At 39.1% G+C, this 14,491-nt stretch overlaps 1 protein-coding gene across 17 annotated transcripts in view; it reads left to right on the top strand.

The window, feature by feature from the left end:
- Window positions 1–14,491, top strand: part of RPS6KA3 (ribosomal protein S6 kinase A3) — a 117,187-nt gene that overhangs the window by 90,729 nt on the left and 11,967 nt on the right. For 11 of the 17 annotated variants that reach the window (XM_011545561.3, XM_047442335.1, NM_001438340.1 and 8 more), the window contains 7 exons: window positions 17–119; window positions 1,081–1,205; window positions 3,498–3,623; window positions 6,878–6,967; window positions 8,622–8,780; window positions 11,309–11,470; window positions 13,329–13,405. In XM_011545561.3, the coding sequence (XP_011543863.1) occupies window positions 17–119; window positions 1,081–1,205; window positions 3,498–3,623; window positions 6,878–6,967; window positions 8,622–8,780; window positions 11,309–11,470; window positions 13,329–13,405 (842 nt within the window). The remainder of the gene's footprint in view (window positions 1–16; window positions 120–1,080; window positions 1,206–3,497; window positions 3,624–6,877; window positions 6,968–8,621; window positions 8,781–11,308; window positions 11,471–13,328; window positions 13,406–14,491) is intronic. The other 6 variants (XM_017029719.3, XM_047442333.1, XM_005274573.3 and 3 more) reach the window with 1 other exon arrangement.

The raw sequence follows: 14,491 nt of genomic DNA, 5'->3' as shown, positions 1-14,491 counted from the left end.
TTTTTTTCCCCTCCAGAAACTGTATAGAAGAGAAATTCATCCGCCATTTAAACCTGCAACGGGCAGGCCTGAAGATACATTCTATTTTGATCCTGAGTTTACTGCAAAAACTCCCAAAGGTAAGGAGAAAATGTGAAAATCCAAATATAAGACAACAAATATGTTTTTTTCTTGTTTCATCAGAAAATCTTTTCCAGACTCTGGGCGCGGTGGCTCACACTTGTAATCCCAGCACTTTGGGAGGCTGAGGCGAGCAGATCGCTTGAGGCCAGGAGTTGGAGACCAGCTTGGCCAACATAGTGAAACGCTGTCTCTACTAAAAATACCAAAATTAGCCAGGTTTGGTGGCATGTGCCTGTAATCCCAGCTACTTGGGTGGCTGAGGCACGAGAATCGCTTGAACCTGGGAGGTGGAGGTTGCAGTGCATCAAAATTGCACCACTGCACTCCAGCCTGGGTGACAGAGCGACACTCTGTCTCAAAAAGAAAAAAAGAAAATCTTTTCCTGGATAACTCTCTAAGCTATCTTCACATCTCCTAAATTTGCTGTAGATCAACCTTGTATCTCCCCTGTTCCACCCCAACTAGGTTATTATTGAGGGCTGCAGTTTCTAATATGGTAGCCAGTAGCCACATGTGGCTAATTAAATTTAAATTAATTAAAATTTAAAGTGTAGTTTCTCAGTCACGCTAGGCACGTTTCAAATGTCGAAAAGCTGCATGTAGCTAGTGGCTATCAGACTGTAAAGTTAAAGAAAATTTCCATCATTTCAGGAAATTCCATGGGACAGCATTAATTTTGAATACCATTAACCCTATAATTCATCGATGTATTATAGTCTTCAAATGAATTAGCTATTTTCTAGGCTCCGAGGGACTAGGATGTTGGTGTTGTAATGGCAATACACAATCAGAACAGATCTGATACAGTGCCTCACAGGTATCCTGGAAAGCAAGAGGTATATACTGTGTACCTGAGAAATAGAATTCCAGAATAAGTGAAAAAGGTCATAGTGTCAACAGTTTTTCCCTTAATTTCCTTTCAAATGAATCTTCTTTGTCACTTCTTACTCTTTTCAGATTCACCTGGCATTCCACCTAGTGCTAATGCACATCAGCTTTTTCGGGGGTTTAGTTTTGTTGCTATTACCTCAGATGATGAAAGCCAAGCTATGCAGACAGTTGGTGTACATTCAATTGTTCAGGTGAGTGGATGTCTAAATAATTTTAGATTTGGAATGTTGTAAGATATAGTTCATTCTGTGAATAGATCTTTTTCTACTGACTTCAAGTGAGCAATTTAAAATACATTTTAGACTGGGCATAGTGGCTCACACCCGTAATCCCAGCACTTTGGGAGGCCAAGGCAGTTGGATCACTTGAGGTCAGAAGTTCAAGACCAGCCTGGCCAACATGGTGAAACCCCTATCTCTACTAAAAATACAAAAATGAGTTGGGCATAGTGGCACGTGCCTGTAATTCCAGGTACTCAGGAGGCTGAGGCACAAGAATCACTTGATTCTGAGGCAGAGGTTGCAGTGAGCGGAGATCGCACCACTGCACTCCAGCCTGGGTGACAGAGTTGAAACTCTGTCTCAAAAAATAAAATAAAATACATTTTATATCATTAACTTTACTCTTAGGAATTTTTTTCATATGTCATCGAAAAGGTTGCAAGAACCAAAATCCTAGATACCTATGTGACTTGAAAGTAGAGTTTTAGGCCAGGTGCGGTGGCTCATGCTTGTAATCCCAGCACTTTGGGAGGCCGAGGCGGGCAGATCACAAGGTCAGGAGTTCGAGACCAGCCTGTCCAACACAGTGAAACCCCGTCTCTACTAAAAATACAAAAATTAGCTGGGCGTGGTGGCGCATGCCTGTAATCCCAGCTACTTAGGAGGCCGAGGCAAGAGAATCACTTGAACCCGGGAGGCAGAGTTTGCAGTGAGCCGAGATCCGCCACTGTACTCCAGCCTGGGCGACAGAGCTAGACTCTGTCTCAGAAAAAAAAAAAAAAAAAAGAAAGTAGAATTTTAAAAGAGTTGAGATAAACATGACGATGTTGTCTATATCCTCTCCTGTGCCTCAAAATGTTTTTCATGCCGAGTTTGTTTCACCCTCTGCCTCCTTCAGGTCAGCTATGATGAATTGAGGTCTTCTGGTTCTTTGATGCCTTAGAACAGGAGTCGGCAGACTTTCTCTGTGAAGGGTCAGATAATACTTGAGGCTTTGTGGGCTATATGGGCTGTGTCACAACTACTCAACTCTGCTATGTAGCACAAAACAACCACAGACAATACATAAACAAGTGGGCATGGCTGTGCACCAATAAAACTTTATTTACACACACAGGCAATGAATCAGATTTGGCTCACTGGCCATAGTTTGTCAACCTTTGCCTTAGAAAAGATACAAGAAATAAAAATGAACTCAAATCTTAAGTCATCTTTCTAATCAAAGGGAACTCGATATATCTTTTGAAGCATTGGATTCTTTTTAGGATATCATTTGTACTTGGATTTGCTTGATGATTAAGTTGCTTTTGCTCTAAAGTTTTTTCATGAGTCAGTTATCCTGTTTTCCATTTTGTAGAAAAACAATTAAAACACTGGTTTTTAAGCAGAGCTCATGTTGAAATAGTCTGTGCCATTTACTATGCAAGCACATGAATGTATGGCAAGTTTTTAAATTACAAATTCTGTACCTAACATAGAAACCACAAACTTGTATATCCTACAAAATTCAAGTTTTAACATATACAAAGCTCATAGGCATGGATGTCTCATATCAGTATAGCCAAGGGCAGCACAACTTTCCTCAGCCTGTTTATGGAATCAGTAAGTTGCTGTTCATCATCTACTGTGTGTTATTAGTCCCTAACCCATGACGAGCTTCTTTAGCATAAGTTGTGTAAGGCTATGACTTCAGGGTGAAGAAAGGAGGGAGTGGCTACTGAAAGTCCAAAATGGCGATAACAGGTATTGCTTGCAAATACATTATTTTTATTTAATCTTCACCATTACCCTCTGAGAAAATACAGGCTCAAAGTTACATAGCCTGTAAGTGGTGTACCTGAGACAAGAATTCAGATATTCTAATTCTGAATCCTCCTAAATCCTTTCCTTCTATACCATAGGTTTCAAACTTCTCATTTGCAAAGGTACTTGAAAACCTATAGCCGACTGGGGACTGGAATAAGGCTGAATCACAGACAAAGATGTAGGCCCCATATCAAGTAGCTCTGCTTTTTCTGTTGTGCAAATTCAATTTTTGTTTGTAACATAAGCTTTTTTAAGTCATATTTCTTGCTGTACACTTCATTGTAAACACTTTCAAAATCACTTGTTTGTAGAATAATAAGTACTATAAAGATGTATTTTTATTCTTATTCATTTATATGTAGGGCATCAACAATGCATGCTGAGTAACATACTTCCCTATTATAAAATGCACTAAAGGCATTATGGGACTCTTCACCAATTTATAATTTTTTGTAGCAGTTACACAGGAACAGTATTCAGTTTACTGATGGATATGAAGTAAAAGAAGATATTGGAGTTGGCTCCTACTCTGTTTGCAAGAGATGTATACATAAAGCTACAAACATGGAGTTTGCAGTGAAGGTAAATTTTTTTTATTTAAAATGCAATTCATACAGTTCTTGTTCATGCATGTCAGTACCAGTTAAAAATTACACTCCCCTTGTTGTTAAAAGTGCCTTTTGTTATAAAAAAGTTAAATATCTGGCTAGTGATCTTCAGAGATCTTAATCTAGAACCCTGTGAGCTAAAGGTAAGGTGGTTATATATCTAGTTTTCCCAGAGCAGTAGCAGTTTACACCTCAAGTGATTTTTTTTCTTTTTTTACCTCAAGTGATTTTTAAAGTATCTTTTTACTCTGAGAAGTCCCCATTTTATGCTCAGGGTGTCAGCAAATTCCTCAAAATTGTGTGCAAAATTTTGTATGTTTACATCTTCTCTGGCAAAAAGTTCATACCTTTCTTTGCATCTAAAAGGATCTGGGAACTAATGAATAAAAACCACTATCATAAAATTCGTTATCATTGGCTGTTTTAATTTCATCAAGTATCCTAAGACAGAATTTTCTAAGCCAAAAACCAAGGAACCTAGCTCTACGATAAAGTTTGAATTTCAAACCTTTAGTCGTAAGTGAACAAGCACTATGTTCAAGTCTCTTTTCACTTCTTGGAATAGTAACCTCTGCTCTCCAATCTCAAGCAATTCAAACAATGTCTAAAGCTTTCAACTTGTTTGAACCTTAGGACTGGTTTATAAATATACATAGCTCATGTTTAGAGAGATAGTGACATTAGTTGTTATCACTCTTCTAAACTTAGATGTAACTGCTTTAAAGTCGTCAGTGTCTATAGGGCTTTCTGTCAGATAGAAGGATGAACCATAAAAATACATTTAATTTGCTTCATTGGAAGGACAATAAAGCTAATTTTAAAGAAGGAAATTCTTAAAAGAAATACATTTAATTTTCTATTTTCCTATTCATTGCTCTTACTGAAATCTAAGATACATAGAAGTTTTCAAATTGCTTACATGAAAGGAGAAAAGACTAATAATGTATTTGGTAGGCAGTTTAAGGATGTGTCTTGCCTCCATAAATACATCATAAAAAGCAGAAATGTCCTGAGGCCCCTTTGAATTACAGAAACCTTGAGGACTATGCCTAAAACCTCAAAAATATCTCCAAGCTATTTGTGGATTTTTGTAACTTAAATGATTCATAAAACCAATCCCAACACAACTGGATTCTACTGAAATTACCACATATTTGAGGTCCACAAGCACAAGTATAGATCTAATGCAAACTGGGCTCAGATTAGCAGATCCATGCCAAAAACGACCCCTCCCAGTGTGTTCTGGTTTTCAAAAGACTAGTCCCAGGTCATCTCTTAAATTAGCATGTCTATTCCATATACCTCTCCTCTTAATCACCCATTTGCCTAATTCCACACTATCATTTGCAGTTGATTACAGTGGGCACCTGTATGTTTACCTTCCCTGTTCTCCAAATACAGAACTGTTATACAAGTACAGTCTACCCTTGAATAACACAGGACTTGGGAGTGCTGATCCCCAAGCAGTTGAAAATCCACGTATAACTTGACTCTCCAAAACTTAACTGCTCATAGCCTACTGTTGACCAGAAGCCTCACTGATAGCATATATAGTCGATTATTTTGTATGTTATATGTATTATATACTGTATTCTTACAATAAAGTAAGCTAGAGAAAAGAAAGTGTTATTAAGAAAATCATGCCAGACATAGTGTCTCACGTTTGTAATCCTAGCACTTTGGGAGGCCGAGGTGGGAGGATTGCTTGAGGCCAGGAGTTTGAGACAAGCCTGGGCAACAGAGCAAGACCCTATCTCTACAGAAAAATTGTTTAAAAATTAGCCAGGCGTGGCTACATGTGCCTGTAGTCCCAGCTACTCAGGAGGCTGAGACGGAAGGATTGCTTGAGCTCAGGAGGTTCAGGCTGCAGTGAGCTATGTGCCACTGTACTCTAGCCTTGGCAACATAGCCAGACCTCATCTCTACAAATAATTTTTAAAATTTTCTGAGTGTAGTGGTATGTGCCTGTGGTCCCAGCTACTCAGGAGGTAGAGGTGGGAGGATCACTTGGGCCCAGGGGTTTGAGGTTGCAGTGAGCCGTGATTGCGCCACTACACTCCACCCTGGGCAACAGAGCAAGACCCTGTCTCAAAAAAAGAAAAAATATATATAAGGAAGAGAAAATACATTTACTGTTCATTAAATGGAAGTGGATCATAATAAAGGTCTTTTTCCTCATCATTTTCACCTTAAGTAGGCTGAGGAGGGAGGAAGAAGAGAAGGAGTTGGTCTTGGTGTCTCAGGGGTGGCAGAAGCAGAAGAAAATCCACGTGTAATTGGTCCCTCATAGTTCAAACCTGTGTTGTTCAAGGGTCAACTATAAATCCATTTCAGATAGAAGACTGGACCCATGCTTGAGAGTTGTAACCTCTTTCCTAGGTTGCTGGAGTGTCTGGGTATTTAGTGCATACTTAATTACTAAGCTGTTTAAAATTGAACATACAAAGGCCACCTAATTTGTTTCAGACTACCCTTTGAATGAATAGAAAGCAAAATTTGTCTTTTTTATATAATATTAGTTGAGCAGATTAAAACATTAAGAAAAATATTTTTAAGGAGCAGCCAATATAAAAGGGTTAGAAAGCTACATTACTATTTTAAAGGGCTTTATTATAATAATTAAACCAAATTCTAACCAAATAAAATGCTAGGTATGATTTTCTATGTAGCTTTCTGCCTAACTTCAAAAACAAGATTGTTCTACTTAGCAGATAATTAGCTTTTATAAGTAGCTTACAGCTAACAGGATATTCAATTGAAGCATTTTATTAAAGGAAGTAAACTTAATTCAATAAGCAGATGCTAGTGGTGGTGTTATATCTAGCTCTTAATTATCTGTATTGATGGGGGGTTAGAAGTTGACTGAGTTCCCAAATGTTTAAGGCCTCAAGGATAGAAGAAAAGATATGTTAACTGTGTTCTTGGTACCTTTTCTCGAGGCTTTTTGAGTTTTTGGTTAAGTCCTAAACTTACTACAAACTTACAAACTTAGATTGGAGAGGCATGGTGGGAATGCGACTCATGAGTTAGAATTTACAGCCTTGCCATCTATATCAAGACTGGCTTTCTGATTAAACAATCTGGCCAGGTAGTTGAATAAAACTGACTGATAAATGGCTTATTTATACACTATTTACATGAGGTAATACCCAAGGTCTGTAGCTATAAACAATTAATGTTTATAACTGTATAGTTGATGAGGTTTTGTGATAAACATTTGCCTTTTAGATTATTGATAAAAGCAAGAGAGACCCAACAGAAGAAATTGAAATTCTTCTTCGTTATGGACAGCATCCAAACATTATCACTCTAAAGGATGTAAGTAGATTCTTTAATATGGATCATTTGAATCAGTTGTCTAACTCACATTGAAAGTAGTGTATTTTCAAAAATCATGTGGTAGACAAAGAACTCATCATAGGCTGGGCACAGTGGCCCACGCCTGTAATCCCAGCAGTTTGGGAGGCCAAGGCAGGAGGATCACTTGAGGCCAGGAGTTCAAGACCAGCCAGGTCAACACAGTGAGATCTCCATCTCTACAAAAAAAAATTTTTTTTTAATTAGCCAGGCCGAGCACAGTGGCTCACACCTGTAATCCCAGTACTTTGGGAGGCTGAGGCAGGAGGATTGCTTGAGCCCAGGAGTTCAAGACCAGCCTGGGCAACATAGGGAGACCCTGTCTCTAAAGAATATTTAAAAATTAGCCTGACATGGTGGCTCATGCCTATAGTCGCAGCTACTCTGGAGGCTGAGGTGGGAGGATTGCTTCAGCCCGGCAGGTCAAGACCTCAGTGAGCAGTTATCGCACCACTGCACTCCAGCCAGCGCAGCAGAGCAAGACCCTGTCTCAAAAACAAAAACAAAACAAAACAAAATTCAACATGGTAAGTTTAAAAAGTAGATTTGAAAACAATTTATATGTGTATATGGCATAATTTCATTTATCAATAAAGATATGTTTGTACAGTTATTTTTTTCTACTTTTGCTTTAAGAAGAAAAGTACTTACGATATTATTGCTTTTAATATCTGCACTTACTTGAACACTTACCTAAATGTTCAGTGTTAATATTACTATTAGTTCATATTCAATATTGACTAGTCTCACTCTCCAGACTACCCCAAAGTATCTTCCACATTACTAGAAAAGAGATCTAACACTCATAACTACCCATTTAACTTCCCTGCCTACAGTCTAAAGTCCCCAGCCGCTTAAGACCCTGCCTTCCTCTGTAGTTTTCAGACTTCTCACACACCCTTTCTCATACACCTGATGCTCTGTGTTCTAGTATGTAAATTTCTTGCGCATGCCTCATTTTCCATGCTGTTATGTCTGAATTTATAGTTCCCTCAGTTGCCAACACCATCTATTTTCTTTACCTGGCTAACTACCACACATATAAGATTTTGCTAAGGCACTGCTTCTTCCAGGAAGCCTGCCCTGCCCATTGCCACCCCCAGGACAAGTAAAGTATCTTTCCCTGGACTGTCATGATAACCCTGTTGCCTATGTCTCTCTTGACTTTTATTATAACAAAGTGTTGGCAAACAGTGTGAACTCCCCAGGTAGTGTTAAGTCTTCTCTTGCTAATGATGCTCAATAGGCCCAAAGGCCTTATCTGGGGGTTGTCAAAACTCAAATTTCCTCAGATTATCCCTGCTCATGGAGACACAGCAAAAGCTCGTCTCTACAAAAAATGCAAAAATTAGCCAGGTGTGGTGGCATGCGCCTATAGTCCCAGCTACTTGAGAGGCTGAAGTGGGAGGATCGCTGGAGCCCAGGAAGTGGATATTGCAGTGAGCCAAGATTGTGCCAGTGCACTCCTGGGCGACAGAGTCTGTCTCAAAATAAATAAATAAATAAAATTTGTCTTGAATATGAAGTGAGTTTAATTTTTCCTTTATATTTTAAACTTCGTTTTGGGCACATATAGTTTCAAATAATATTTACATTTTGATGTTGAAATTTATAGGTATATGATGATGGAAAGTATGTGTATGTAGTAACAGAACTTATGAAAGGAGGTGAATTGCTGGATAAAATTCTTAGACAAAAATTTTTCTCTGAACGAGAGGCCAGTGCTGTCCTGTTCACTATAACTAAAACCGTTGAATATCTTCACGCACAAGGGGTAAGTCTTTTTACCACTCTATATGTACATACACACACTTTTTTCCTTTATGTTTGAGCTAGAATTAGATAGAAATTACTTTATGCCTGAAATGGAAAATAACTGCTATTAGCTGAATTATCCTACTGACCTTCCTCTATATAAACTTTTATTATTGAGATTGAAGTGTACCTTTGATATCCTAGCTTGTTTATGTTAAACTCTTGTGCTTCCAAGAAAAAGTAAGTGATCTCTTCCGACCTGGAAAACATAGCATTGTTTCTGCTAGGTCACTCTGTACTCATGAAAACCAGGCCCACTTCAGGTTAGAAGCAGAACCAAGGAATCCTGGTTTGTATTCATGTATAAAAGGAAATCCTTAAAACAATGAGGCCAAGGAGTCACATGCTTCGGCTGGTGGATATGCTCTTCGTTCTTCTTGTATGCAGATTTTTAGTAAACAGCAAAAGAAAATTGTATTTCTAGGCTGGGCACGGTAGCTTATGCCTGTAATCCCAGCATTTTGGGAGGCCGAGGCAGGCAGATCACTTGAGGTCAGGAGTTCGAGAAAATCGTATTTTTAAAACAAGGCGGCCGGGTGCAGTGACTCACGCCTGTAATCCCAGCACTTTGGGAGGCCAAGGTGGGTGGATCACCTGAGGTCAGGAGTTTGAGACCAGCCTGGCCAACATGGCGAAACCCTGTCTCTGTTAAAAGTACAAAAATTAGCCGGGCGTCATGGCTCATGCCTGTAATCCCAGCTACTCAGAAGGCTGAGGCAGGAGAATTGCTTGAACCCGAGAGGCGGAGGTTGCAGTGAGTTGAAATTGCACCACTGCACTCCAGCCTGGGCAACAGAGTGAGACTCCATCTCAAAAAAAAAAAAAAAAAAAAAAGAAGGGAAGTCTGGGAGGAAAGGAGAAAATGAGGGGAGGGAGGGAGGAAAGGAGAACAGCAGAGGAGTGAAGCAGAGGAGCAGAAAGCAAGGGGAAAATAAACAATTTTTTAAAAATTTTTTAGTTGACAAATTATGTATATTCATGGTATACAACATGATGTTTTGATACATGCATATATAAAAGATTACTTCTTAAGGAGTTCAGTTTCAATACATTCTTTTTGTTTTGTCTTTGCCCCTGAAAGCCAAGTAGAATGTGTTAATTCTGGAGCTTCCTGACTTCTAACTTATCAAGATTTGCCTAGTATTGTAACTTGAAATTAGTAGAACTCAGTAGTCACTGAGGAACTTATGACCTTGCAGTCATCAAAGTCTTCTGTGTTCTTTTCCCAATGCCTCATCAGTAATTCGTTATTAAAATAGTCTGGAGAAGTGATGTCCTGGATGTGAGGAACTAAATCTAATTTGATTGATTGGAACACAGACTCAGAATTTGGTGACAGAAGGCACACTTAAGTCTAAAAAGGAATGTCAGAGAAGCTTATGATAAAAAAGTACAGTAGTCCCCCACTAATCTGCAAGTTTGCTTTCTGTGGTTTCAGTTACCACAGTCAACCATTGTCAAAAATATTACAGTATTTTGAGAGACCACATTCATATAACTTTTATTACAGTATATTGTTACAAGTGTTCTAATTTATTATTAGTCATTGTTAATCTCTTACTGTGCCTAATTTATAAATTAAACTATATCATAGGTATATATATCTAGGAAAAAATATAGAGAGACTTCGGTATTATCCTCAATTTCAGGAATCCACTGGGGGTCTTGAAACATATACGCCACGGATAAGGGGGGACTACTGTACTCAGGTAGATCATTAAAAGAGGAAAATAATACAGAACTCTAAAGAAGAGGTTTCTTGCATGTGTAACACCTTGTATATCAAATAGGCAGTACCAAAAATAAAGTCCAGATTTGTTTTGGTTTTTTCCTTTTTACTCCTCAATGCCCTGTCTATTCCATTTAGTCTATCAGAATATATTTGTTGTGTATGTATCTTGTACGTGCTGTTCCTTCTAGTTAGAATGACTCTCCCTTACTGTTCTTATGGCTCATTCATTCTGTTCTTCAGCTATTGGATCAGATGTTACCTAATCTAGAGACCCTTCCTGACTGCCCTATTTAAAGTGACCTCCCTAGTTATGTCCCATCTCTCAACCTATTCTCTGCTTCCCCCAGAACTGTGTAAGCTCCTAGCATGGAAAGGCCAGGATCTCATGGGTCTTGTTCACCACGGTATCTACAGCAGCTTATATAATACCCTGGTACATGATAGACACTCAATATTAAATGAGTGATCAACCTGGAGGTAGATATATTATTGCTGTTTGCAATTTTCCTTAACCCAATTACTCAGTTGGACAAAGAGGAGGGAGGTAAGTACTATTCTTTCTTCCTCCTCCTCCTTGCCCCCGGTCTATGTTAGAGAGTTATGCTTTACATTATCAGTATTTTATAATGTTAGGCTAATTTAAAGGTCAGCACTCATCATCTTGTTAAGTGCATTGCTTGACAGTTTGTGAATAAAGAACTTTCAGTAATGGAAATATATTGTTAACATAACTCTTTAATTTGTATTTCAATTAGGTGGTTCATAGAGACTTGAAACCTAGCAACATTCTTTATGTGGATGAATCTGGTAATCCGGAATCTATTCGAATTTGTGATTTTGGCTTTGCAAAACAGCTGAGAGCGGAAAATGGTCTTCTCATGACTCCTTGTTACACTGCAAATTTTGTTGCACCAGAGGTAATTGTGAGAGAGTTTGCTTGCAGTATTAGTATGTTTTAAAACTCATTCACTATGTTTAATACCGAATTATTAATAATAATTTAATTGAAGACTTACTGAAGAAATAATTAGGATAAAATGCCAGCCTTTCATTTCCCTGTTTAATGTTTCAGTGACATCTGATTGCCTACAGAAGAATCTAAATTTCTTAACATATTATAAAAGCCCTTGAGGCAGGGCATGGTGGCTCATGCCTGTAATCCGAGCACTTTGGGAGGCCAAGGCAGGAGGACTGTTTGACGCCAGGAGTTTCAGACCAGCCTGGGCAACATAGTGAGACCCCATCTCTACAAAAAATTTTAAAATTAGCTGGGCATGGTGGCGTGCCTGTAGTCTCAGCTACTCAGGAGGCTGAGGTAGGAGGATCACTTGACCCCAAGAGTTTGAGGTTGCAGTGACCCAAGATCACACCACTGCACTCCAGCCTGGGTCACAAAGCAAGAACCCCTCTCAAAAAAAAAAAAAAAAAACAACCCTTCAGTCTCTCTGGTATTCCCTACCTGCTCCGGTATTCCCTACCTGAAGTTCTAGACACACTGGACTTCTGGCCTATCACTAAGCCTGCTCTGCTCTCTTACTTATAGGTCCAATATAAGCAGGCCACCCTCTAGCCTTCCTTCTCTCCCCATGTCAGGAATAAATTGCTTCCTCATCTTCATACCTATAACATTTAAGACATAATTTGGGGTTTTTGTTTGTTTGTTTAGGGACAGGGTCTCCCTCTGTTGCCTAGGCCAGAATACAGTGGTGCAATCATAGCTCACTGCAGCCTTGAACTCCTCAGCTCAAGCAATCCTCCTGCCTCAGCCTTCCAGGTAGCTGGGACTACAGGAGAACACCACCGTGCCTGGCTTATTTTTTATTTTTATTTTTTAAAGATGAGATCTTGGCCAGATGCCATGGTTCACGCCTGTAATCCTAGCACTTTGGGAGGCCAAGGCAGGCAGATTGCTTGAACTCAGGGGTTTGAGATTAGCCTGGGCAACATGGCGAAACCCTGTCTCTACTAAAAATATAAAAATAAGCCAAGCGTGATGGCACATGCCTGTAATCCCAGCTGCTCGGGAGCCTGAGGCAGGAGAATTGCTTGAACCCGGGAGGCGGAGGCTGCAGTGAGCCAAGATCGCGCCACTGCACTCCAGCCTGGGCGACAGAGTGAGACCCTGTCTCAATAATAATAATAATAATAAAGAGGTCTTGCTGTGTTGCCCAGGTTGGTCTCAAACTCCTGGCTTCAAGTGATCCTCCCACCTTGGCCTCCCAAAGTGCTGGACTGCAGGCGTGAGCCACCATACCCTACCCAGACTTGATTTTATTATAATATTTATCAGGTTGAGTCGTTAACTATTTATATGTTTATTTCCCATCAGATTTTTTTTTGGGGGGGAAATCAGGGGTTTTTTGTATTTCTCATAGTTCGTACCTGATAAAAGTTGGTGATTTTTGTGCTAGGTTCTGTGTGTTCTTTGTGTGCGTGTGTGTATGTGTTCTTAAAAGCATTGTTTTTTGTAAATATTTCTGTAGCCCCAAACAAAATATAAATTCATTAAAATAAGAAAGTTATCTTCAGTTTGTTTTATATTCCTGTGTACCTACAGCACTCAATAAATATTAATTTGAATACCAAAATTAAATTTATGAATTATTAGTAGTAGAATGTTCTAGAATCGGATTAACGTATTGCCTTATTTGGTAACCATGTTCTGTTGAAATTTTCCTTATAGGTGTTGATTTGGAATATATAATTCAACTCATAGCCTTACAAATATATATACAAAATGGTGGTATAGTAATACTAATTTTGCACTTTTTCTAGGTTTTAAAAAGACAAGGCTATGATGCTGCTTGTGATATATGGAGTCTTGGTGTCCTACTCTATACAATGCTTACCGGGTGAGTGTATACCATATGTTCTAAGCACCTAAGCATTTGTTCATCAATGTTTTGCTTAAGTTATCTAGGTTTTTGTTTTGTTTGGGGTTTTTTGTTTGTTTGTTTGCTTTTTCTTTAGAGACAGGGTCTCACTCTGTTGCCCAGGCTGGAGTACAGTGACACAGCCATAGTTCACTATAGCCCCAAACTCCTGGGCTCAAGCAATCCTCTCACCTCAGCCTCCTGAATAGGAGTAGCTAGGACTACAGGAGTGCACCACCACACCTGCCTGATTTCTTAATTTGTAGAAACAGGGTCTTGCTGTGCTGCCCAGGCTGGTTTCAAACTCCTGGGCTCAAGTGATCCTCCTGTCTTGGCCTCCCAAAGTGCTGAGATTACAGGCATGAGCCACTGTACCTGGCCTATGTAGGTTTTTTTTTTTTTTAATTCAGATGTTGTCATATCTTTCCATGTTTTCTCGTGTTATCTAATATATACAATTCTGTAACAATTCCACATTTATGGCTATATCATTACTGATTTTTTATAATGTGCTATTTATTAATGTCTCGAGGTCCTAAATTGATTTTTTCCATACTTTTTTGTACTCTTGTCATGTTAGAAACATAGACCTTTTTTTTTTTTTTTTGAGACGGAGTCTTGCTCTATCACCCAGACTGGAGTGCAGTAGCACGATCTCGGCTCACTGCAACCTCCACCTCCCAGGTTCAAGCAATTCTCCTGCCTCAGCCTCCCGAATAGCTGGGACTACAGGCACGCACTATCACTCCCGGCTAATTTTTGTATTTTTAGTTGAGACAATGTTTCATCATGTTGGCCAGGCTGGTCTCAAACTCCTGACCTCGTGATCCGCCCACCTCGGCCTCCCAAAGTGCTGGGATTACAGGCATGAGCCACCGTGCCTGGCCTACACTATTTCTTAATGTTTTATTCTATAATGTGTCAGGTCTTAAAATATTTATTAATATAAATATTTTGTATATTTGTAATTATTGTAAATATACAATAATTTGTATATTAAATATAATTAATATTTTATAACCTATACTTTACCTGGTGCCTTATGGAGCTTCATTTTGTTGATTT

The sequence above is a fragment of the Homo sapiens genome, chromosome X, assembly GCF_000001405.40.
Source record: "Homo sapiens chromosome X, GRCh38.p14 Primary Assembly".
In the NCBI taxonomy this organism is placed as follows: Eukaryota; Metazoa; Chordata; class Mammalia; order Primates; family Hominidae; genus Homo; species Homo sapiens.
The sequence above is the reverse complement of the archived record's forward strand: the minus strand, read 5'-3'. Positions and strand labels throughout refer to the sequence as shown.